The sequence below is a fragment of the Homo sapiens genome, chromosome 18 (genome assembly GCF_000001405.40).
Source record: "Homo sapiens chromosome 18, GRCh38.p14 Primary Assembly".
Lineage (NCBI taxonomy): Eukaryota > Metazoa > Chordata > Mammalia > Primates > Hominidae > Homo > Homo sapiens.
In genome coordinates this window covers 32,557,731-32,584,101 of record NC_000018.10, presented here as the reverse complement: position 1 = coordinate 32,584,101, position 26,371 = coordinate 32,557,731, and the positions used below count along the sequence as shown (strand labels likewise).

The following is a 26,371-nucleotide window of genomic DNA, read 5'->3' as shown; positions in this document are numbered from 1 at the left end:
TTGTTCCTAAATGAGGAACTGCAGGACTTACAGAGGAAGCAAATTGATCGAGTGTTCCAGCTTGTCAATAGCATAACTGTAGTTACTTGCTATTATACCACGGTTTTCCAAGCAAGCTGTGGTTCTCCTGTCTCTTTCTGCTCCTCCCCTTTATTAGTGCATCATTATTGACCCTCAATTTCATAATCCATCAAGCTAGATTATTACTAAGGACCAAGCCCTCAAAAGAAAAGATACGTGTCTTGGCTGTACATACGGTAACTTAGAAACATACCATTGTTAAAGAATCATTTATTAAGGGCAGGCTGTATGCCCTACTCTAGACAGTGGGAACAGGAAAGTAGAAGAAGTTTTGTTTGTCTGGGAAGGCAAAATAGACATAAGTAAAACTGAGTAAATGAGGGCTGTGTAGTTAAACCATTACCACTTAAATCATTTCACGGTTGGGGCATGCTGGTAGTGCAATCTGGAGACAGTAGTGATTTGTTTGTTGGCAAAGGAAAATTCAGCTTGCAGTTTGGAATATATCTGCACATCCAATATATAGTACAGCCATACCCCCCATTTAGTGCTGAATATACATTCTAGAAAATGGAGAGGTTAAGGGAATCAGCAGAGACCTTGTGGAGAAGCAGTTTCAACATCATTTGTATTGCCTATAATCACAGCCTACAATCACTATTCAACCGGGGGATTATTGGCTGATGTTTATATACCTCCGTATTCTACAGAGTTGTTCTAATGGTGTACCTAGGTAGGCCATGTTTTAATAATTGAGAAATATTAAAAATATCTATTCTATTCAGAATTAAATGCTAGTTTAAAGGATAGGTGAACGGAAAAGCTCTACTCATCCACACTCCTGGTCTCACCTGGGCAGATGGGGATGGAGACAGCCAATCCTTTTGAACAGAAAATATTTCCTGCTGCGGCTGCCGCTATAGCTATTATTATTATGAGCAATCTACTTCCTTCACAATGGAAAAACGTATTGACTTATTCACCTGATCAAAACCGTTTTGAATGTCTAAAAGCCATTAGGAAATAATTGGGAAGCAGGGCGGGGGGATGCCCCATTGCATTTCTAGCACTTTCCTAACTGCCACCAACAGACTTTGGGTTTGTATTTTACATAAGAAGGAAATTCTAGGTCTGCCCCTCAGTGAGGGGGAAAAAGAGGAGGAGGGAGGTGAGTAGCAGGTCACTCATTTTTGCCTTTCTGACAGAAAGTGACATTTATCCTTACCACTCTGCCAGATTCCTGAAACTCTCATGTCTTTACAAAATATTTTTCTATTTAGTTGAATCAGGCAGCACAACTACAATATGTCTTCTCTCTGTGACTGCCTTTCACAGCCTTTGCCTTCACGAGACTTAGATGAGGTTTGGGTGATTCATGGCACTTAAACTTCTCCAGAGCACTTTTTCAATTGGAAAATTCTCCTAAACTGAATGCATCATCAGCACGGTTGTCCATGCATAAAAGAACTACAAGCAAAACAATGAGCACCATTTTTTAAAACCTACGCTTAAGCCAAGAAAAACAGTTATATCACAAAATGTTAAAAGACCTTATTTTTCAGTTTCCAGGAATCTTTCATGGAGAACATGGCCTATCTTAGTCTTAGAGCCCCTTATTCTAGGCTTTCTAAATTACAAATAAAAGAAATAGTTTATATTCAGTTTAGCTTGTTTTCAAGTTATTAACATGATATATAGCAACATAAGTAATGCCACCTGCTATATTTATGTAGAAGTGATTATTCCTCACCCTCATTAATTCTTTTCTGCATTCTCTGTGGAAATGCTTAGAAGTTTTTTACGTTTTAGGTGGTTTTCTCATTATTTTTATTTTTTATGTATTAAAGAAGCAGTCCTTTAATATATTTTAGTGTAGAAGATAGTCTTTTGCGAAAACATAAGTTATACTGATAAGCCCCGAATCTTACCTGGAACTTCAAATTTAAAATATTTGCCTGTATTTTTGATTCACGAATCAGCATTTTATAATGGAAAGGGTGTCTTAGTAAGAGTTGAGAGACACCGGCTCTAGTTCTGCTCATTATTGACTCAGTTTCCCCAGAGGTAAAATGGGTATCATATCCCAATGTCAGAGATATTTATTCTTTCATTTAACAAGTAATTACGAAGTATAACTATACATCAGGGAAAGCAGTGGAAGGCACTGGTTAAGAAACTTACTACACAAGATTGAATCTCAGCTCCCCCACTGATGAGCTATAAACATCATTTCTCCATCTACAAAATGGTAACCACGTCCTAGGTTTATTGTGAGTATTAAACAAGTAAAACATATGCATCTGTGCCTGGCACACATAGTAAACACTCAACATGTGTTAGGTACTATCAATATTGTTTTAACTGTTTTCTAAAGATTTTTCTAAAGGGAAATACATAGCCCCCATCCTCAGGAGGCTTACAGTCCAGTGTGAGGTTGATAATCAGAAGAACCAATGACGTAATTCCTACCATAGAAAACAGTGTAAGAATGTAGTGGCACACACCTGTGGTCTCAGCTCCTCAGGAGGCTGGGGTGGAAGGATTGCTTGGGCCCAGGAGGTTGAGGCTGCAGTGAGCTGTGATCAGACCACTGAACTGTAGCCTGGGTGACAGAGCGAGACCTTGCCTTAAAAAAAAAAAAAAAAAAGATTAAAAAAACTAAAAAATAAAGCTATGTAGGAATGACTTGAGTAGACGTGAACTTCACTTGCCAGGTTCTGTTGAAAAAAACTGAAGCTACTTTGCTCTTCAAAAGTTACATTTAAATCCACAGGGTTAAACATGTGCTGTTGCATTATGACTTCTTGCAAAAATGAACATTTTTCACACCAATAAAAATGTTAGAAATTTTTATAATAGGACTTGAAATCAGAAGATGTGATGTATCAGTTAGAACTCTTATTATATGGAAAAGAAATTCAAATCAAATTCACTTAAGCAAAACAAGAATTCATTGCCTCATGTAGATGAGAAATCAGAGTTCAGCTTGCTTAACAAGGTCAGTATCTCCCTCTCCCTCTTTCTTTATTCAATGTGTGCTTCCTTCTCAGGCACGGTCTCCCCAGGGTGGGACCGGAAACCTCCAGGCTCATGCCCTCCCCTTTGAGTAGCCTTGGCATGAATAGAACTCCTCTGCCCATGGGCTCCAATCAGAGTCTCCATGTGACTCTGATTGACCTAACTTGGGTCACAAGTCCATTCCTGAACCAGCAGGGGGATGAACTACTCTGCCAGATTTTGGTCACATACCCACCTTTGGAGCTAGGGGTGTGGTTATTTCCATCAGAACCACATGAAGTAAAAATGAGGAGTGGGCAGTTCCCACAAGGGAAAAGGGATGGTGTGATCTCTAATCAGGAAGAGAGTTCAAGACCCAGATATAACATTAATAGCTGCGTAAGCTTGGGGAAAACTTCAGAACCTTCCTGAATTTCAGTTCCAACATTTGGAGAGGATGGGTATGGAACTAAATTACCTCTATTACCATTCTACCTTTTGAATTTTCTAACTCTATTACCCTTCTTTTCTAGGAAAATGACTAGTATAGGGCATGTTGAAAGACATATGATTCTTAGAAATAAATTATTCTACAGGAGGAAGATTTTATAAATTTCCTCAAATGGAGTTGTGATACAGAAGAATAAAGATGAAATGAAGTCAGATCTAGGTCTTGGGACACAACTTCCTCGTGGGGTGGAGGCGTGGAAAGGGTCATTACAGTCAGAGGAAATGGGTGCAATGTCCTGAGACAAGAAAGAGCATGAAAGCCAGACATAGTGGTATGTACCTGTAGTTCCAGCTACCTGGGAGGCTGAGGAAGGAGGATCCCTTGAGCCTAGGAGTTCAAGACCACCCTGGGGAACATACCAAGACCCCCATCTCTACAAAAACATGAAAGAAAGATGAAAGGAAAGAACATGAAATTTTTGGTAGGCTGTAAGTATGCTGGAGGGTGTGTGGAGTGCGGAGACAAAAAACTGGTGGAGCTATGTCATGATGATACTTTATGCCCCTTCCTCCTGTGACCACTTGAGAGTGTCTCCTGGTAGACACTGAGGGTTCTAAGGGAAAACTTTAAAGGATGAAATGGAGAGAGGTAAGACTTACAGATCTGAGAAATGTTGAGGAGATGGACAAGACAGTACTTGCTCATTCAGTGAATAATTCTGACCTGTTTAAATCAGATCAATGAAACTTTTAATTCACAAATTATATGCATAAAAGAGAAGACAATCTCATTCAGGGATGTTTGTAAAAAGGTGCATTTTTTACTCATATTCTCAGCAGTTAATTTTTTAAAAAATAGTTCATAAATTTATTTATGTTTCCAAAGTGCTAATATTAAAACCAATATTCATCATCACTTATGATTATCAGGGGAACCAGCCCCCAATATTTCAACATAGGTTCTTTCTATTTTCCTTAAGTGTCGGCCAGTCTGAGAAATAAAGAGAAAGGGTACAAAGAGAGAAATTTTACAGCTGGGCCTCTGGGGGTGACATCACATATCGGCAGATTCCATGATGCCCCCTGAGCTGCAAAACCAGCAAGTTTTTATTAAGGATTTCAAAAGGGGAGTGGGGTATGAACAGGGAGTAAGTCACAAAGATCCCATGCTTCAAAGATCACAAGGGCAGAAGGGCAGAGCAAGATCACAAGGCCAGGGCAAAATTAGAATACTGATGAGGTTCCATGTCCCGCTGGGCACGTATTGTCTTGATAAACATCTTAACAGGCAACAGGGTTCGAGAGCAGACAACCAGTCTGACTAGAATTTGCCAGGCTGGAATTTCCTAATCCTAGCAAGCCTGAGGGCACTTCAGGAGACCAGGGCGTATTTCATCCCTCATCTTCAACCACATAAGACAGACACTCCCAGAGTGGCTGTCCATAGACCCATCCCTGGAAATGTATTCCTTCCCCAGGGTTATTCCTTGCTGAGAAAAGGATTCAGTGATATTTCTCCTATTTGCTTTCTGCAAGAAGAGAAATATGACGCTGTTCTGCCCGGCCCCGCAGGCAGTCAGACCTTATGGTTATCTCCCTTGTTCCCTGAAAATCGCTGTTATCTTATTCTTTTTCAGGATGCCCAGATTTCATATCATTCAAACACACATGTTTTACAAACAATTTGTACAGACAACGCAATAATCACCGGGTCCTAAGGCGACATACATCCTCAGTTTACGAAGATGATGGGATTAAGAGATTAAAGTAAAGACAGGCATAGGAAATTATAAGAGTATTAATTGGGGAAGTGATAAATGTCCATGAAATCTTCACAATTTATGTTCAGAGACTGCAGTAAAGACAGGCGTAAGAAATTATAAAAGTATTAATTTGGGGAACTAATAAATGTCCATGAAATCTTCACAATTTATGTTCTTCTGCCGTGGCTTCAGCTGGTCCCTCCGTTTGGAGTCCCTGACTTCTCGCAAAATATGACGTTGAACATTTCCTATACAATCTTCTCTTCCTATGGCTGGCTTCATCTCAAAAGCTTTCAGTAGGTGCCTTATGACTCAAAGCCATAATAACACTTTGGTGACTGTCATTCCTAATTAAATCTAAATGGCTATTTTCTACTCCTTATCCACGTTTCGGTGTAGATACTACTTCTTCCAGGAAGCCTTTCTTGATCTCCCAACACCCCCATCCAAGTTAAGAGACTTTTCCAAGTATTCCCAGAGCCTCTGCCCTTCCACCGTCATAGAACTCACCTCACTGCATGATAATTACCTATCAGTCATCTGTTTCAACCATCAGAATGTTGGCCTCTGAGGACCACAACTATGTTTAGCATGTTTACTATTATCCGCTTAATGTTTGATTCAACATCTGTCACATATTGAGCACTCAATACTCCTTGAATAATCAAATCAACGCATGAATAAACAAGTAGGAATTGAGAGAGTCGCTGTCGATCAATCACCATTCCACAATTTATAAACATACAGTGAGTGCCAACTATGTTCCAGGAATAATGACAATGTTGACTTTGTATTTTAAAGGACAATAATTATAACCACTTTTTTCCTCTTACCAAAATGAAGTGGTATTGTATTGCTTAATCATTCAGAAGGTTGCTTTTTAACTAGTTAGTACATAGCAGTCAGTTTCAGCCTTCCCAAGATGGTCATCTTTGGAATGCCAAAAATGAAATGCTTAGAAAGACCATAGATCAAAATAAGCTGTAGCAGCCCCATGCAGAAAAGGCTACCCCTAGAGACCTGATAAAGGAGAGCCACAAATCAAGTGAGCTCTTTTTATTTACTCCTACAAAATTTATCACCATTAAAGCTTTTTGTTTGTTTAACACCCTTTATTGCCAGCATCTGTCATTAACGCAGTTCTTATCTGTTACATCTATTGTAAAGATCACTTAACCAGCAATTGAAACTTTGTATCAATATAACTGGAGACAAGGTATATAAAGTATAATAGTATAAAATGATCAGTGCCTAACACGAGGCAGGAGCTGGGAGACTTGAGTGTAGATGGGATTCAACAACTGAGTTTTACCATCCAGTAGAGGAGTATGGTTGTGAGGGGAAGAAAACAGAGCACCTGCTAACTAGAAAGTGGGAGGATATTTAGGATTGCAAGGATATTCTAAATGAGTTGATATTTTAGTATATCTGGGTCTGCAAGGAATGTGTCAATTAAGAGGGAACAATTGAAAATACAGAAAAGAGGGAGGAAGAAGGCCAGAGAATAGTCCAGGGGGCTCCAGAAAGACAGGAGAGAGGACATACCTAGAAAACATCTACCTGGGGAAAGTCAATGGAATCAGAGGAAGCTGACCAAGGAGCACTTCCTGGCAATGCTTAGAGTCTAGTCCTCCAGGGTACTACTTCTGATCCAAGCTTCATAGAACCCTGGGACCAAGGGATTCGTACAAGGGGTCCAGGAATTCAGAAGTGAGCTAAGCATTATAAGCTGACAAAATAAACACTTATTCCCAGCTGGACTATTTATTTAAAGTACATAGATGCTGTTGTGAATACTTCCATACAAACGCACTTAAAAGTGTAGTGAATCCATTCTAAGGCAGACATAAGGTGCTTCTCTTTTTTTAACTTTAAAAGGCATCCTTAATACTCTGAAAGAGTGGGAGTTTGGGTCTAGATAATGTGGAATCATTCATGATTCCCGAAATAGGGAATAACATGATCACTGCAGAGTTTTTTGAAAGATCCATGTGTCAGCAGTGGATCAGGTGAATTGAAATAGGGCAGAGAATCGAGGCAGGAAAGAGTCATACAAGCCAATCCAAAAAGCTCTGAACAACTCTCCGGAAGCATCTCACACCACCTATATACATCCTGTCTCTTCCTGACATTTCCTCTCGGCTTCCAAAAGAAAACAATGCTCCCAAGGATCCAATGTCGTTTAAAATAGCAAACCTGGTTTTTGTTTTGAATGCCCTCTTTTTCTGAAGATAGAATCAGCTCCAGCATCTGGACAAAACAATGGGATCTGTGGTTCAATCCGGCCACAGCTGTGCAGTCCTTTCTAAAGAGTGTGTCTGTCTTAACTTGATAGAATTCTGCTGGGAGAGCAGCAACAGCGGGCTCTGACTACTGCACTTGCAGCCCCCTAGTGGGGCCTCAGCGGTTCCAAGTTGTAATAAGATTAGCTGAGAACAAATGCAGATAAAATAGTAAAACCATAGTAGGTGAATATAAGAATGTCTTGAGATGTAATGAAGTATTTTCTATAAAAGTCCTATCATGGAAAAAAAATACAACAAACAATAACAGCAACAAAAGCTAAAGCTGATACAATGAGACTGAGTTTAAGAGAAACTGAACATGGAGACAGGAGGAATGCTGATAGAAAAATAAAGATTAAAAGAGCAACATCGTTTGCAAAATGGCTATATGTCGAAATGTAACTGACAAAACTGCCGTCCTAATGAGGGAGTAAGGGTCTTTTCCTTTTTTATTTTTATTATTATCTTTTTTTTTTTTTTTTTTTTTTGAGACGGAGTTTCACTCTTGTCGCCCAGGCTGGAGTGCAATGGCATGATCTCGGCTCATTGCAACCTCTGCCTCCCAGGTTCAAGCGATTCTCCTGCCTCAACCTCCCAAGTAGCTGGTATTACAGGCGCCTGCCACCACACCCAGCTAATTTTTGCATTTTTTGTAGAGACGGGGTTTCACCATGTTGGCCAGGATGGTCTCTATCTCCTGACCTTGTGATCTGCCCTGCTCAGCCTCCCAAAAGTGCTGGGACTACAGGCGTGAGCCACTGCGCCTGGCCAGGGTCTTTTCACAAAGGGCTGGCAGCACAGCCTGCAAGGCTGAGGATCACAGCCACAGCTTCACTGGGTCTCCACAGTCCACAGGGTTTTCTTCTGGTGGTGTCACCCTACTAGATTGACTGCTTGCTTAATTTGGAAACTTGGGGTTGGTTAGGGGAGGAAGAATCGTTGTTTTGTTTTGTTGTTTTTCTCTAGAATTTTACTATCTTTTCAAACACAACAGTAAAAACTAACTGGAATGGTGATGCTTAGACCTGTTGTGTCCTCTGTGCTAATTACTACCTTCCATACAGTCCTGTTGTGTCAAAATGCAAAGCACACTGGTAGCTGTTGGTGACTCACTGATAGTCACCAAGCTTGTGGACCCTCCAAGGAGCACAAACTGCTTGAAAGCCAGGGCTGTAGGTTGGCAAGTCACACCTAAGACTGTGGGACTAGTAAAGAAAGGCCATTAATCTCTTCATCCCTCTCATCACCCCACATCCTCCCACTGCACTCACCCTCCCTCCACTGCAAACTTAGGCTTCAGTTCAGGATCCTACTTTGTCCAAAGAGAGAGAAATCTATCCTACTCGAATATCCCATGCTCCCTTGTTGATTCACACCAATAAATAATTCTCACAGTCTGGAAAGTCTTCCTTATCTTCAGCCAAAACCTAGGGAGACTGTCACCCTATTTCTTCTTTTCTGTCCTCAGGGAAGATATATTAAAGCCATTCATTATCTTTTGTGTAAGAGCCCTTTGTGTCAAAGAAAAATTAGATTTGCTCCTGATCTTAGAGAAACCTCACATTTTACAGCTGGAAGTGATATTAGAAATCATCTCAAGCAATTACCCTCTCATTTTCATCCCACCCTCCACAACTTAAAATATGAAGGAACTGAAGCCCAAAGAGGTTAGGTGACTTGGCTAAGGACACACAGTGAGTTGATCAGGTTTTTCCAGGGCACTACATATTTTTTCTCTGGTTCCTTTAACATTTCCTCATGTATTTTTCAACTACAAAAAACGCTGAACTTCTCTTGAAAGTAACAACCTGTACCCAGGTGATCACAAGCCCTAATGCACAAAGAGGCTCCCAAATGTGAGAGGAGGAAGCTAACATAATAGGAGTGGTGTATTAGTCTGTTCTCACGCTGCTGATAAAGACATACCCGAGACTGGGTAATTTATAAAGGAAACAGATTTAATGGATTCACAGCTCCACATGACTGGGGAGGCCTCACAATCATGGCAGAAGATGAAGGAACAGCAAAGGGATGTCTTACATGGCTGCAGGCAAGAGGGCATGTGCAGGGGAACTCCCCTTTATAAAACCATCGGATCTCATGAGACTTACTCACTATCATGAGAACAGCTTGGGAAAAACCCACCCCCATGATTCAATTACCTCCCACCAGGTCCCTCCCTCAACTCATGAGGATTATTACAATTCAAGGTAAGATTTGGATGAGAACACAGAACCAAACCAAATCAAGTGGCAATACTGTAGCAAACTAAATTTCCTATGTCTAGTATAAAGGTGGCAACCCTGCAGGATGGTTATTATCATCACTATTATTCATATCAAAAACTATGACTCCAAGTGGCTAAGCAGCTTGTCCATGGGCCCCAGCAGGTGGACAGCACAGGCAGCCTCTGAACTCAGCTCTGCCTCCAAAGTCTTAACAACATGGGAGATATTGGTTGTGATTAAGAACATTCATTGTTATTAAAAACATAGGGCATACTGAAAGTGCTTTTTTAAATTAACAGAACATTTGTTCCTAAAGTATTACATGCTTTGTTTGTAAGTTTCTGCATTGAATCTTCAAGACTTTATGTAGAAGTTAATCTGAGTGTTGTCTCTTTTAGCCTGTAAGATGCTGGAGAACAGAAATCATATTTTTTAGAAGAGTGGCATAGGCAAATATGAAATAACAAATACTACATTTTACTGGTCTGAAGTTGACAATGCTGAGTATAAAAGGAACATTTTCTCCAGTGTCAATATGCCCTGCCTGTTCTTATCACTGAACTAATTTTGCTTTTTAAACCAACTGGCTACATGGCTGTCCCAGATCCAGTCTCCATTCTGCCATTACTGCCCATTACAACTACATGCACTATTACATGACATATTTTGTGTAGCCCATCGCCTTCCCATCGTTTTTCAAAGGTTGTTTTTATTTCCCCTGCATAATCACACTACCTTTCACTGTTCATGCTTCCAGTCTCTCCTCCCAATTCACAGGGTCACTGTAGACTCTGATCTTACTCCCCAAGGATCTAGAAACCTGATGACTCTGTTCTGCCAAGCTTCGGAAAATATCTCTCATTAACTGATGTACTGTAGTCAAGGCTCTTCTTGTTACATGGAACATAAATTCTCTCATGCCAGATCAAGAAAGCAAGAGGGGTCTGTTCAGAGAATGTGAGACAATCTCATGCTTTCTAAGGGCAACAAGTAAAATGGACTATTATTTCCAATGTATTATGCCCACTCATTGGTTGATGGGCATTTAGGTTGGTTCCATGTTTCTGCAATTGTGAATTGTGCCACTACAAACATGCATGTACATGTGTCTTTTTCACATAATGACTTCTCTTCCTCTGGATAGATACCCAGTAGTGGGATTGCTAAATCGAATGGTAGTTCTACTTTTCATTCTTTAAAGAATCTCCATACTGTTTTCCCTAGAGGTTGTACTAATTTACATTCCCACCAACAGTGTAAAAGTGTTCTTTCACCATATTCACTCCAATATCTTTTAAATTTTTTTAATTATGGCCATTCTCACAGGAGTAACGTGGTGTCTCATTGTGGTTTTAATTTGCATTTCCCTAATGATTAGTGATGTTGGGCATTTTTTCATATGTTTGTCAGCCATTTATACGTCTTCTTTTGAGAATTGTCTGTTTGTGTCCTTTACTCACTTTTTGATGTGATTACTTGTATTTTTCTTGCTGATTTGTTTGAGTTCCTTGTAGATTCTGGTTATTAGTCCTTAGTCAGATGTATAGTTTGCAAATGTTTTCTCCCACTCTATGGGTTGTCTGTTTACCCTGCTGATTATTTCTTTTGCTGTGCAGAAGCTTTTTAGTTTAATTAGATCCCATTTATTTATTTTTGTTTTTGCTGCATTTGCTTTTGGGTTCTTGGTCATAAATTCTTTGCCGAAGTCAATGTCTAGAAGAGTTTTTCCGATGTTATCTTCCAGACCTTTTATGGATTCAGGTCTTAGATTTAAGTCTTTGATCCATCTTGAGTTGATTTTTGTATAAAGTGAGACATGAGGATCTAGTTTCATTCTTCTACTTTGCAGCTTGCCAATTAACGCAGCACCATTTGTTGAGTAGGGTGTCCTTTCCCCACTTTATGTTTTTGTATGCTCTGCTAAAGATCAGTTGACTATAAAGATTTGGCTTTATTTCTGGATTCTCTATTCTGTTCCATTGTTCTAATATGACTATTTTTATACCAGTACTATGCTGTTTGGGTAACTATATCCATGTAGCATAGTTTGAAGTCAGGTAATGCGTTGCCTTCAGAATTGCTCTTTTTGCTTAGTATTGCTTTAAGCCCTCACTCCTGATTAAAATTTTTAGTGTGATACAAATAGAAGCAACTTACTAAAATTGACAAAGGATGTAATACAGAAATATATGACAAACATCTTACTTAAAAGTAAAATATTATAAACATTTACATTAAAATTATAAACTGAACAGTGGTGCCTGCTAACAATACTTCTTATTCCACATTATTTTCTGTACCTCTATATCCTAATATTTATTCATGAGAAGACAATAATATGTTTGCGGAGGTGATATAATTGTATATCTAAAAATGCCCAAAATAAGTAACTGAAAAACTATGAGGACTAATAAATATACTCTAATGATGCACTAGATTTAAACATAAATTCAGTGCTTTCCTATCTAAAAGCAATACTCAGAAAGAGTAAAAAAAAATGCATTGACAATTGCATACCAACAAACAGCATACCTAGAAATAATCTTTAAAAGCAAGCAAGAAATACAGACAGGAAATAATATTCTGCTGAAGGACATTTTTAAGAGGAACTGAGTAAATAGAATACATTACCATCATCTTGAGTGAGAAAACTCAATATTCTAATTGCTCTTAAATAATTCATAAAGTCAATGTAATTCCAATAAAAATCTCATTGAGAATGTATTTGTGTATCTGTCAAAATTATAAAGTTTATCTAGAAAAGAAAACGTATAAGAAGAGCCAAAATATTTTGAGAAGAGAATAGTTTAGTCAAATTTGATCTATTAGTTATCAAAGCATAATATTAAAAAAACACTATAAAGTTATAGTAATTAGAACAGTGTGATATTAACACTGGTATAGAAAGATGAATTAGCCAAAATAGAAATACATACGCAGAGCCACGTACATATGAAAATTTAGTACACCATTATGATGGTACTTCATAATAATAGGAAAGGATATAATATTCAATAAGTGGTATTTTTAGTGGCGGCAGGGATCTGAGTTACACCGAGTTACCACAAGCGTATTCGTATGGGTCTGTAGCAACTTCAGTCCTTGCCTCCTCAGAAGAACTTGACTGAAGGACATAAAGCAGAAAAAGAGACCAAGGCAAGTTTCAGAGCAGGAGTGGGAGTTTATTAAAAAGGCTTTAGAACAGCAAAGAAAGTAAAGAACCCTTGGAAGAGATTCAAGTGAGCCCCTGAAGGTCAAGGAGAAAAGAGAGACAAAAGAAGCACCTTTAAATTTGATCCTGGGACTTTATAGGCTCACCTCTTTCCCATGATTCTTCCCTTAGGGTGGGTTTTCTGCATGCGGTGCCTCCTTACTCTTGGGAACTGAGCACATGCAGTATGCTTAGGATTTGTATGCATGCCCATCTGAGGCTTTCTTCCTTTTTCGGGCGGAGTGATCCGGGAAGATCATACTTCGCCATTTTTGTCTCTTAATGTGCATGCCCAAGAAGCTGCTTCTCTCTGGGGCCTGCATTCAATTAACATTTTAATGTTAACAGGTGTGGACCATCAGAAAATGGCCTCTCCCTGGGGCCAGCTGCCAATTTATCACTTTTAAAGATGCAATGCAATAACTGCCGAACCATCATCCAACATTTCTAGTGGGTGGTGGGAAGAGCCCTCTCCTGCCCCGCTCATGCCTATCTACCTGTAACAGTATTGAAACAACTAGCTACTCATTGGGGAAAAAATTAAGTTTAATCTGTATATTATGCAAGTCATAAAAATATTCCAAAAATGTTAAAAATCTAAAAGTTTTTAAATTAAAACATCTGTGTAGTAAAGAATACCACATCTGTGTAGTAAATTTACCCAAAGAGAGGTATGACCTTTGTGCCAGCTCTTGGGAAGTAACCTCTAAACCCTTAAAATACCTCCAGTGATTGGAGGGTCTTTGTTATTCATAATGGGTTCCTCAGACCACACCTGATAGTCAGATGACTCATAATGGGCCCCTAGATAGTTTGTGCTAAAGAGTTAACTCAAGATGAGGACTGGCCACACCAGAAAGACCAAGGCCATGATTAAAGGGTTGGGGCTTTGAGCCACATGGTATCAGACTGATCTCCCCAACAGAAGGGGCTGGAAATTGAGTTAACCACATGGCCAACAATTCAATTATGCTATGCAATGAAACTTCAATAAAAATTTTAGATATCAAAGCTTGGGTGAACTTTCCTGGTTAGCAACACTCTGAATATTGTCACACACCAGAGCTGGAAGCAGTAACATGATGAAGGAATCCACAGGGAGAAGATAACTGGAAGCTATGCATTTTTTTAATCTGGTTCTGAGTTGTATTTTTTTGCTATGTTAAAATTATAATCATAAGTATAGCACTTTGGGGCATTCTATGAGTCTTTCTAGTGAATTATTAAACCTGAGGGTAGCCATACGAACCTTTGAATATGTAGCTAGTTGGTCAGAAGTAAGGGTGGCCCCAGAGACCCCCAAACTTGCAACTGGCATCTGAAATAAGAGCAGTCTTGTGCAGGGCTGTGCCCTTAACATTGATTTTCATAAACGTTTTATTGTTATGGTTTGAATATGTCCCCCAAATTAATGTGTTAGAAACATAATTGTTTCACGTGTCCGTGTGAAGAGATCACCAAACAGGCTTTGGTGTGAGCAACAAAGCTGTTTATTTCACCTGGGTGCAGGCGGGCGGAGTCCGAAAAAGGAGTCAGCAAGGGTGATGGGATTATCATTAGTTCTTATAGATTTTGGGATAGGCGGTGGAGTTAAGAGCAATGTTTTGGGGGCAGCGGTGGATCTCACAAAGTACATTCTCAAGAGTGGGGAGAATTACAAAGAAACTTCTTAAGGGTGGGGGAGATTAGAAATAACATTGATCAGTTAGGGTGGGGCAGAAACAAATCACAATAGTGAAATGTCATCAGTTAAGCTATTTTCACTTCTGTGGATCTTCAGTTGCTTCAGGCCATCTGGATGTATACGTGCAGGTCACTGGGGATATGACGGCTTAGCTTGGGCTCAGAGGCCTGACAATAATTACCATTGTAACAGTACTAAGAGATGGGGCTTTTAGGAAGTAATCAGGCCATGAGGGCTCTGCCATCATGAATGAATTAATTCCATTATCACAAGAGTGGGTTAGTCATCATAGGAGTTTGACCCCCAATTTGTCCTTCTGTCTCCCGCACTGACTTCTGCTTTCTACCACAGATGACCCTTGCCAGATGCTGGCACCATGCTCTTCGACTTCCCAGCCTCCAGAACCATGAGCCAAATAAAATTCTGTCCTTTATAAATCACCCAGTCTGTGTATTCTGTTATAGCAGCAGAAAATGGACTAAGACAACATCCAAAATAAAATAGAGGAGAATATTTCAATAATATTAGCATATGAGAGGCCTTCCTAACACAACTCAAAATATAGAAACTATAAAGAAAAAGATGGACAAATCTGATGATATAAATATGTAAACTTTCTGTACAAAAAAAGGATACCATAAAACAAAATTATAAGAGACAGATGAGATATATTTGAAACCCATAATAGACAATGAAATGTTATTTATTAAAGGAATTTCCTTAAATCATAGGAAAATGACAACTCAAATTTTCAAATGGGTGAAGTCTATGAACAGGCAATTCATAGAACTACAAATATCAAAAAAAAAATCGCCAAAAAAGAGACCTCTTCAATCATAATCCAAAAATGCAAATTAAACAGTGAAATATTATTTTTTAGTCTTTAGAATGGCAAAAAGTAAACATCTAGTATTCACAAAGACTTGAGCAAAGCAAGAACCTCCTGAACTGGTCAGTGGAAGATACTTTGTTTCAATATTTTTGCTCTTGAAATTTGGCAATATCTGACAAAATTTAAATATGGATGCTTCTGAATTTGAAGAATCTATGCCATAAAATCATTCACATTGTAGTGTCCCCCTTCCCTCTCAGCTTTCTTTTTGTGTCCTGACCAGAAATCACAAGAGTGTCTTGACCACTCTGTGACCCAGCCAGCTGCAGGATTTTTTTACTCAAACTGGGGCCTTGAACATTTCCAGGCACTGATAAAGGTATCTATGTCGTTGCCCAAAATACTGAAAGAAACTGGTCCTGGCCTTGTACCAAATTCCTTAAACTCTCACACAAACTTCATACCCTGACCCTCTTGCTGTAGACGTACCTAGATAGAACACCCCTTTTCTCTTGATGTCCCTCACAAACATTGCTGCAGTACTCTATAAGTAGGTTCCCCTAATAAGCACTTTGGACTAATTACCCTGGTATTTAGTCCTTCTTTGAAATCCCAACCAGCCTCATATCTGGTTTGGGGCATTCTCTTGTGGGAATTCTCTTGCCATCATTTTTGGGGCAATTCAAACTGCATGTTTGGTGGATGAAAACACACATATGCACCAAAATGTACATGCAAGTATGTTTCTGCTGCAGTTTTAGTTCCAGCAAAAACTAGAAACAACTTATATGCACAAACCAGACACTGTTTAAAAAAAAGGGGGGGGGGCTCCATTCACATCCACTCATGAAGAAAGCTCTCTAAGATATATTTTGTGTCACAATACAATATGTTTAAATATATTATACTTTTATGAGTCATATACTACACATGTGACATAATTAGGAAAAGTTGTATTTAAAAAAAAAAAAAAACCTGCAACAGTTCACCACATTTTGGCTTTCTCAATCACCCTTATGGCCTCATCCTAGTTGGAAAGGTTGAAAACCTAAAAATCACTAGGATTCTGGATACGAATAAGGCTTAGCATATTAGAGAAACTCAACACAAGATTTGGGAGGTGGATGTCAGGCAGAGGCAATTTCCCTGTTCATCTTGGCTGTCTATTTTGCTTTTTCTTTTTTGAATTTTTATTTTTCTGAGACAGGGTCTTGCTCTGACACCCAGGCTGGAGTGCAGTGGCGCCATCCTCCTGGGCTCAAACAATCCACTCATCTCAGCCTCACAAATAGCTGGGACTACAGGCACATGCCACCATGCCCAGCTAATTTTTTTTTTTTTTTTTTTGAGAGACAAGGTCTCCCTAGGTTGCCCAGGCTGGTCTCAAACTGCTGAACTTATGCAATCCTTCCTCCCCAGCCTTCCATAGGGCTGGAATTACAGGCGTGAGCAACTATGCCCAGCCTTGGCTGTTTATTTTGGCAAGCAAGGTTATAGAAACAGCTTTTCTTCAGAAATATTCTAGCTTCCTGGTGCTGACATGCAGTTGTGGTGACAGCTCGTATAGTAGTGGATTCTTGATTCTGGCTTTCTAATCCATGACTTACAGCCATAGGTGTCCACCTTCCAGCTTTCTGGATGTCAGGAGGCTGTTTCAGTAGTGAGCACGGCAGCAGCAGCAACTTTTTGAACTTGGGACCGCATCTACAGTGATGAGTTGTTGAACTCATGCTAGCTCCCCTAGTGAGTCAGTTCTAGATCATTCTAGAATCCCAGCCTATACCTTATTCCCATATCCCTTTCAATGATTTTGTAAGCACATAAAGCTCTGTTATGGTTTGAATGCTTGTCTCCTCTAAAACTCATGTTGAAATTTAATTGCTATTGTGATGACATTGGGAGGTGGGATGTTGAGGAGGTGTTTACATAATGAGGACTCTGTGCTCACAAACGGACCAATGCTATTACCATGGGAGTGGATTTGCCTCCTTTTACTCTTTCTCGGGCACCATGTGATGTCTTCTACCATGTACAGTGCAACAAGAAGGCTCTCACCAGATGCTGGACCTTGATATTGGACTTTCCAGCCTCCAGAACTATGAGCCATCATTTTTCTGCTCATCATAAAGTACCCAGTTTCAGGTATTCTGTTACAGCAGCACAAAATGGACTAAGATAGTCCCTGTCTTAAATCTCTCTATGTTTAGAATGCCTAGAGAGTTTTTCATTTTCTTCACTGAATCTTTACTAGGTGAGAATAGGGAAATTGGCACAGAGACCCAAATCATTTCACACTGGGAAATTCTCAGGTGTTTCAGCCATATTTCATTTTGAGATGCAATGCTTTAGGAAGTGAGTGTCTGCCTCAAGTTTCCGAAATATATCTGTAATACAATTTGATTGGCTTCCTAAATGCCTCAAGACTTGGGGTATCACCTAGAGTCTTGGCAACAAAGATGTCCCTACTGGGTAGCAGGGCCTCTAGTTAGCTACGCTAGAGCTCACTGAGTTTATAGGTTTGGGAGGAGTTATGTCAACACAGAATTACTTGAATTACTTATTTGACAAGATTACAATAAACTGCCATCTAAAGAATAATTTTTCCAGTTTTAATATAACTTAGGGTTTCCTGGCTTTATAGACAATCACGGAATACATTATGGTCAAATTTCCCCAGTTCACATATAAGTTAACAACTAAGTATACAACATTATGCCTTTAAAAGAACTCAGAAATCCTAACTTGCATTCTAGTGCTTTTTTTTTCACCCTGACACCATATAATAGACATATGTTGCCTTTATTTTCCCAGCATCCTTTTCCCCTTATTTTGGTAACAACATCTCAGTGTTCCTCAGGAAGCCATGCCTCCCCCACCCTCAGTGCAGAGTGAGCAGGCCAGCCACCGAGCCCATACTCGCAAACCCAATGATAGGCTTCAAATGGGTACATAACCATTTTGGTCCAATTAGACTCCCTTTCAATATTGTAATTGGAAAGCCTGGGAAAGAGAAGCTTTCTTTTCAATGGGGGGTAACTACCCTGGAGCTGCTGCGGGGGAGATTCCACCCAGGAATGAAGCCACACAGACCTGAGAGACAACGATCCTGGAGGCATATTGAGGACCAGGACCTCTTCATGCTTTTCAGCCTCATGAAGCAGTAAACTTCCTTTTCTGCTTAGGCCAGTTTGAATTGGATTTCTTTCACTTGTGGCCAAAAATCCTGACAACAATTGCCCTGAAAATTATAAAATGTCTTACTTAAAAAAAAAAAAAAAAATTCTTCTTGGCCTGGCACAGTGGCTCATGCCCGCAATCCCAGCACTGTGGGGGGCCAAGGCAGGAGGATCACTTGAAGTCAGGAGTTTGAAACCAGCCTGGCCAATATAGTGAAACCTTGCATCTATTAAAAATGCAAAAATTAGCCCAGCATGGTGGCATACACCTGTAGTCCCAGCTACGCGAGAGGCTTAGGCAGGAGAATTGGTTGAACCCAGGAGGCGAAGGTTGCAGTGATTTGAGATTGCACCACTGCACTCCAGCCTGGGTGAAAGAGTGAGACTCTGTCTCAAAAAAGAAAAATAAAATTCTACTTGACCGCCTACTATTTGGTATTTATAATTCAAAAAGAAATGAGGCAGCCAGTTCTTACTCTTCCTTCAGAGATTCAGTCTTACAGAGGAGACACATAGGTTCTGTTGTTGTTGTTGTTGTTTGTTTTTTATTTTTGTTTTTTTGAGACAGAATCTTGTTCTATTGCCTAGACTGGAGTGCAGTGGCGCAATCTCGGCTCACTACAACCTCCGCCTTTCGGGTTCAAGCGATTCTCCTGCCTCAGCCTCCTGAGTAGCTGGGATTACAGGTGCGCGCCACCAAGCCCAGCTAATTTGTTTTCTATATTTTCGTAGAGACAGGGGTTTCACCATGTTGGTCAGGCTAATCTCAAACATCCGCCCACCTCAGCCTCCCAAAGTATTGGGATTACAGGTGTGAGCCACCGAGCCCGGCTGGTTTTGTTTTTTAATGTAATACAATGAGGGAAGTCCCACAGGTCAAAAGAGCTCTTGATGCAGAAATGGGACAAACTAAATCAGCTTGGAGGTTGGTCAAGGTCTTCACAAAGAAGGTGACATTTACATGGGCCCTAGAGAGAAAGCATAGGGTTTCCCCCAAATAAGGAAGAAAATGAAATCAAGGCACTTCAAGTGGAGGATTTTCAGGTCAAGAATGGCAACTCGTTCTGCGGAACTGAAGTACACAGGACACTAGAATGAAAACCAGAAGTGGAGTTGAAAAGGCAGATGGTGTAGCGCACCAGCATGGCACATGTATACATATGTAACTAACCTGCACAATGTGCACATGTACCCTAAAACTTAAAGTATAATAAAAAAAAAAAAAAAAAGAAAGAAAAGGCAGATGGGAGCCAGCATGCAAATTTCGTTACTGTGACCAGATAAGGAAATTAGATTTTCATCCTGGAGACACTGTGTTGAGACTTGCAGAGATTTTTAAAGGATAGTGTTATGATTGGATTTGCACTTTAGAAAGATAATTCTAGCTGTACTGTGGAGAGCAGATCACAATGTGGGACCACTAGGAGCATGTGGCCACTGTATTTAGGAGTCTATGTCTACAGTAGTTTTCTGCGTGAGGAAGAATATTAATAGATGCTTCATCAAGATGCAAAGGAACCTGAGATCTATTTAGCAAGACTCTGAGAGACTTAAAGAGTAATTACACATAATGAACCAGAAGGGCAAGGGCAGTGGGGAGTTAAGATTTCTATCGTGAGAGGCTGGGCACAAGAGAGGAACAGCTTTGAAAAGGAAAGTAATGAATGGCTTGGGACATAATAAATTGGAGATGTTAGACATACATCAAGGCTAGAAGACAAAGATCAGTAACAAAAAAGATAGGGTAATTACAATCACAGATGCAATAAATAACTACTGAGATAACATACAGGCCTCGGTTAAAAATCTTAATTCCAGACCAGGCACAGTAGCTCATGCCTATAATCCCAGCAATTTGGGAGAACAAGGTGGGAGGATCCCTTGAGGCCCAGAACTCAAGAACAGCCTGGGCAACATAGCAAGACTTCATCTCTACAAAGAAATTTTAAAAATTAGCCAGGCAGGTTAACACGCACCTGGAGTCCAAACTATTCAGGAGGCTTAGGTGCGAGGATTGCTTGAGCCCAGGAGTTCGAAGTTACAGCGAGCTATAATGGTAGCACTGCACTTAAGCCTGAGTGAAAAAGTGAGACCCTGTCTCTAAACCTTAAAATCTTAATTCCACCACGTTTTAACTGTTCAATCTGCTTGAGATTTTTCTCATGTGTATAATGGGAATAATATCACTTCTCAGAGTGGCTGAATGAACAATATGAGACCACACATGGAGAATAGCTATACATTTCATGACACAAGAAGTAAACCCTAAATAAATGTCAGTATCTTTCCTTCCTCCTACTGGTTCTTGCTCCCTGAAATTTTATAGCTAACCTATGTGGCCACAGGAGTGAGGTAATGACCAAGCATTACTTGGATACATCTACTCTGCTGTATTTGAGAGAAAAGTACAGCGTAGTGGTTAAGAGCAAGACCTATAGTTCAGACATTTAATCACAAAGACTAGGGCAACCTCGCCTGTTCTTTACAGTTACATAAATATGCCATACCTTTAACACAACTGCATAAATTCAATATATTCTGAAGGAATAAAAGGTAGTTACAATCACATATTCCCATATGTGGGTTTAAAGAGGAATGCTGACTTTACCAGTAAACCACCTTTTCTTCTGGTCCATCAACTGGAGTTTTTGTATTCCTGTCAATGAGCCTTTAGCTCTTGTAATTGGTAAATTTAATAAGTATTTTATTGACTAGGAACAGGAAGTTGATTCTTAAGGGAAGAAATATTAAAGATTGATTTTGCAACTTTCCATTATGTTACATGATGGTTGGTTTCATATTAAGAAACAAGTTGCAGATTTTTTTTCAGAATAATAATCAATGTCAGTGTATGATGTTTATGGGCATTTCTTGAGAACATGGAAAATTTTATCTGAAATTAGTGAGCTCTCTTGGTGCTTCTTATTTTTCACTTTTTCCTGACCAGTTACTAAAATTGCTTGAAATGTCATAGAAAGACAAAGAATTCAGGCATGCAATGAATATTGACTTGTGTATTTTTCACTAACATTTGCTGACCTCTTAGGTCAATATGTTTTGAAGTTTACTTAACAAGTCAATATGATTTATTTCAGTTCAGATTTAGATTGTTTTAAAGTGTCAGAATTGTTTCTTGTTTACTAACACAAAACCACTGCCAGAGTATAATAACATATATGTTAAAAACTAGTTCTTTTGAGAATTAGAAGTGTCCTGCAAGATTATGGGTTTTTTTTCAAAATAATATAAGCAAATTTAAAATGACCCTTTGTCTTTCTCTCTTTCATTTCATGTGCCCTTATTTCCTTTAAAGAGCTCTAATGTCTAGAAAGCTGTACAAACAATTAAGCTAAATCATTTTGTAAGCGGTTCTATGAAATGCAAGAGTGATTTTTTTCTTAAAGTCCAAATGTGTAACTCAGCTTACATGAGCATATAAGCATATTTTGCTTAAATTACATTTCCATCTGACAATATTAATTTCATCAAGGAAGCTTAGTATAAAATTAATTATAGCTATCATTTACGTTATTTCATCTTCCCCTTCCATTGAAGCTTCAATGAGAATTCATCAACTGAAGGGCATGATTCACATTTTAACAACAATAATAAAGAAAATAACCAAAACTACATTTTCCCCCCCTACTAGAATTCCGTGACTAAAGACCTATCTCTTAATGTCATCCGAAATGTAATAATATATTTTGAGGTTCAGAGGAAATGCTTCCAATGGATATAATGAGAGCACTTCTAGTCATATTCTCCTGCTGACATAGAACATTTCAGTTTCATTGACTTTGGTGAATAACCTCCTGTGATTTTTTAAGAAACAAGTTTCAAGAAAGCATCTGTGCAAGTATTCAAATGCCATACTGTTAAGCATGAAGACAAGGACACCAGCTTTTATTCACTCACCAATTCCAGAACATCGAGATTTACATAGAAAATAACCTCAGCTGGGCACAGTGGCTCATGTCTATAATCATAATGCTTTGGAGGCTGAGGCAGGAGGATCACTTGAGGCCAGGAGTTTGAGACCAACCTGGAAAATAAAGCAAGACCCTGTCTCTACAAAAAATTTACCAGGCAAGGCGGTACACACCTGTGGTTCCAGCTACTCAGGAAGCTGCGTATTGCTTGAGCTTAGGAGGTAGAGGCTACAGTGAGACATGATTGCGCCACTGCACTCCAGCCTGGGCAACAGAACAAAACCTGGAGGAAGGAAGGAAGGAAGGAAGGAAGGAAGGGAGGAAGGAAGGGAGGGAGGCAGGGAAGGAGGGAGGGAGGGAGGGAGGGAGGGAGGCAGGGAGGCAGGCAGGCAGGCAGGCAGGCCAGGCGGGAGGGCGGGCCCATACTTTAGAACTTCTCCCCAGCCCAATTTCCCATAAAAGTTCACTGTTGGCAATGGAGTAAATGCTTCTAGGAATTGGCAGTAAGGCATGATTCGGGTTGCAGGGAGCAACATCAAAGCAAACAATAACAATACACACCTCAGGCTGGGCCAGTGGTTCATGCCTGTAATCCCAGCATTTTGAGAGGCCAAGGCAGTTCACTTGAGGCCAGGAGTTCGCAACCAGCCAGAGTAACATAGTGAGACTCTGTCTCCCTCAAAAATTAAAAAATTAGCTGGGCATGATGGCACATGCCTGTAGTCCCAGCTACACAGGAGGCTGAGGCAGGAGGATCACTTGAGCCCAGAAGGTCAAGGCTGCAGTGAGCTATGATTGTGCTACTGTACTCCAGCCTGGGCAACAGAGTGAGACTCTGCTTCCAAAAAAAACATATACACATTTCAGATATCCAACAAAGTGAGAAGATCCCTGAAAAAGACAAAGACTTTCTGAGGTGTACAGAGATATGGATAATTATTTTAAAAGTCAATTTTCATATCTTCAACTTTATTTGTACATCTTCCTAGAACTGACCTGCCTGAGAACCTGGGGGAGGATTAGCCTGTTTCTCTTTCATTCCTTCCCCTCCACAGCTGTTCCGTACTGTAGGGTTTCCACTTCAGGAATAAAAGACTCACCTGTCACACACTGTGAATTGAATTATGGTGTAAAAACTTCCAGGATGACACAGAATGGGACATTCCAAACACTGGTATAGGTGAAGCCTCCCTCAGTCATCATGTTCATTCTACTGGAGAATGGGGAGGCAGAAGTGAAGACTATTTCTTTTAACCTTACCTTTTCCACCCCTAATTATAGTCAAAGAATGAAGCACTTCTGAGAGAGGAGCCTGGGAAGGCAAAGCAACAAATGTGGGTAGAAATGGAAAGAGTGTCACTCTTATTCCATCCAGGTGACAACACCCAGCAAGATTCCAGGCCTTTTCTATGTATCTCACAATAGGAGATGTTTGTAAAAAACAAAACAGAGTGTGCTGAGAAACACCAATTTGCTGCAAAGCCAGTCTTTCTGCATTTTCACCGTTTTCAGTAATAACGGTTTAGCGTGAAGATCTATAGATGAGATACTTATTGCATCCTATTGTCTACCTTTTAGGCCCACCTTTGCATGCCAGCCAACCAACTGCATTCCGGGGTAACCTCATTATCACTCATCTTCTACCCCAGTGCCTTTCTGCTGCTGCCATGTGGGATGCCACATTTGATGTTTGCATAAACCTGGAAGTGGGGTAGAATTAATATCTCATGAGGTGACCCTTGACCAACAGTAACAAGACCCAAAGTCTAAATACTCCTCTAATACATCCCTCGGGTGGGCAATTTTGAGGCATATCTGACACGGTTCCTCAAAGGGTCCCTAAGAGAACTGAGCTGCAGTTGCCCACAGCGGTGACCCAACTCAATAACATTCCCCTTTGATTAGCTTTTCCTTCTTCTTTCTTTCAACCCTTCCTATCTCCCACTCCCATTCCTTGGGAATCACTTCTCAAAATAAGCCATCTGCATGCAACACCTTGTTTCAGGCTCTGCTGTTTGGGGGAACCCAGGCCAAGGTGTCTTCGTTACATATTTTGCATGATTTCAGAAGAAAGGGTCAAAATTTCCGTTATCACTTCTGTAGAAGGACAGTATAACTTTGAGTATAAAGAATATATGGTAATAGCTAAGTTAACGTGTTTTTTTAAATATTATTCACATAGGTAGAAGAAACATTTTATTAACCTTTGCCAAAGCATTATTAGATGCTATAGGCTGGGCGCGGTGGCTCATGCTTGTAATTCTGGCACTTTGGGAGGCTGAGGCAGGTGGATCACCTGAACTCAGGAGTTTGAGACCAGCCTGGCCAACATGGCAAGATCCCATCTCTACCAAAAATACAAAAATTAGCTGGGCGTGGTGGCACGTGCCTGTAATCCCAGCTACTCAGGAGGCTGAGGCAGGAGAATTGCTCGAACCCGGGAGGCAGAGGTTGCAGTGAGGCGAGATAGCACCACTGCACTCCAGCCTGGGCAACAAGAGTGAAACTCTGTCTCAAAAAAAAAATTTATTAGATGCTATAAACAGATATTCGTTTTTCATTCAGGCACAAGTCTCCCATTTGTCTGCATTTGTCAATTACTTCCATGCTTATATAATCCAGACTTTAGAGTTTAAGATTAAAATAAAAGGATTGTTATAGGTGTCTATCATAAGTCATGTACTGAGAGCAATATTTAATCCATCTTTTAATTTAGTGCATCTTTTAACTTAAAACATCTTTTATAAGCCCTATAATTAATAATGGTCTATAGTTTTTATGTCAATTTTTACAAAAATATAAACCTATAGTCTTAAAACAGAATATCCTCCTTTATGCAGTTGTCAGACAAAATGTTTCCATATCATATTCTAGTATATAACAAATTAAATCCTAGAAAACCAGCTTCATTGAATTAGAATTAGTTTCTCTTTTGAGGATTCAAATCTCTTCTAATTCTGTCAAATATATAATTGTAAAAATTTATTTTCCATTAAAACTTAATATTAGAATTTATATATAATAATTCTCAGGTGTCATGACTTTTAAAGACTTTTGAGATAACTTCCTAGATTAATTGAAATTTGGCATTAATATATAGATCTCTGCTCAGAAAAAAAATGGGTACATTCCTAAAGTACAAAGCATCCAATTTATGGAGTTATTTTTACCCCAGTTTTATGTCATTTTAGCACCATAAACAAGGGTCTCTAAGTTAAAGACTAATGGGAATAATAGCTAATAAGTTGTATTAAAGTCTTTTTAATACATTTCCTAGATATTGAGAAATTAAATGATTTGCAAAATCAGAGGGTTTCCAATGCTTGCATTTTACAAAATTATATGAGGTCATTATGAGGTCATCAGCTGCCAAATAATTAAAAATACTTTTGATTATGAATTACTATATTGTTCTGGCATACAACTTAGAGGGACTTCAAATAACTGAATGATAGTCCTATCTCAAAACTTCTTCCATTCCACCAACTTTTGCCAGCAAGTTTTCTCAGCACCCACCCCTAGGTTAAGAAAGAAAGGGAAAAAGAGAGTGAGGAAGAAGGATGGAGGAGGTGGGGAGGGAGAGAGGGAGGAGAAAACTGAAGGTGAATTCTGTCCCATTATAGTGATAAGCAATATTCATCTGTAGATTGACAAACTGATGGGGGAAAATGCCATCTTTATCCATTTCAATAGGAGATGCATTTTCAATAAGCTTTACACTTTATATTTTATAATTATGAATTTTGCAATACATTTATATGCTTTTGATGAAGTTTACACAAGTAATTTTGTAGA

General features: G+C 39.5%; 1 annotated feature.

Annotated features, from left to right (window-relative positions):
* Nucleotides 4,456–4,976: an enhancer, noted in NCBI's record as "OCT4-NANOG hESC enhancer chr18:30159089-30159609 (GRCh37/hg19 assembly coordinates)". NCBI's record gives its function as "activates a minimal SCP1, AML or CMV promoter by ChIP-STARR-seq in primed H9 embryonic stem cells {active_cell/tissue: H9 hESC(primed)}" and the evidence as "EXISTENCE:reporter gene assay evidence [ECO:0000049][PMID:30033119]".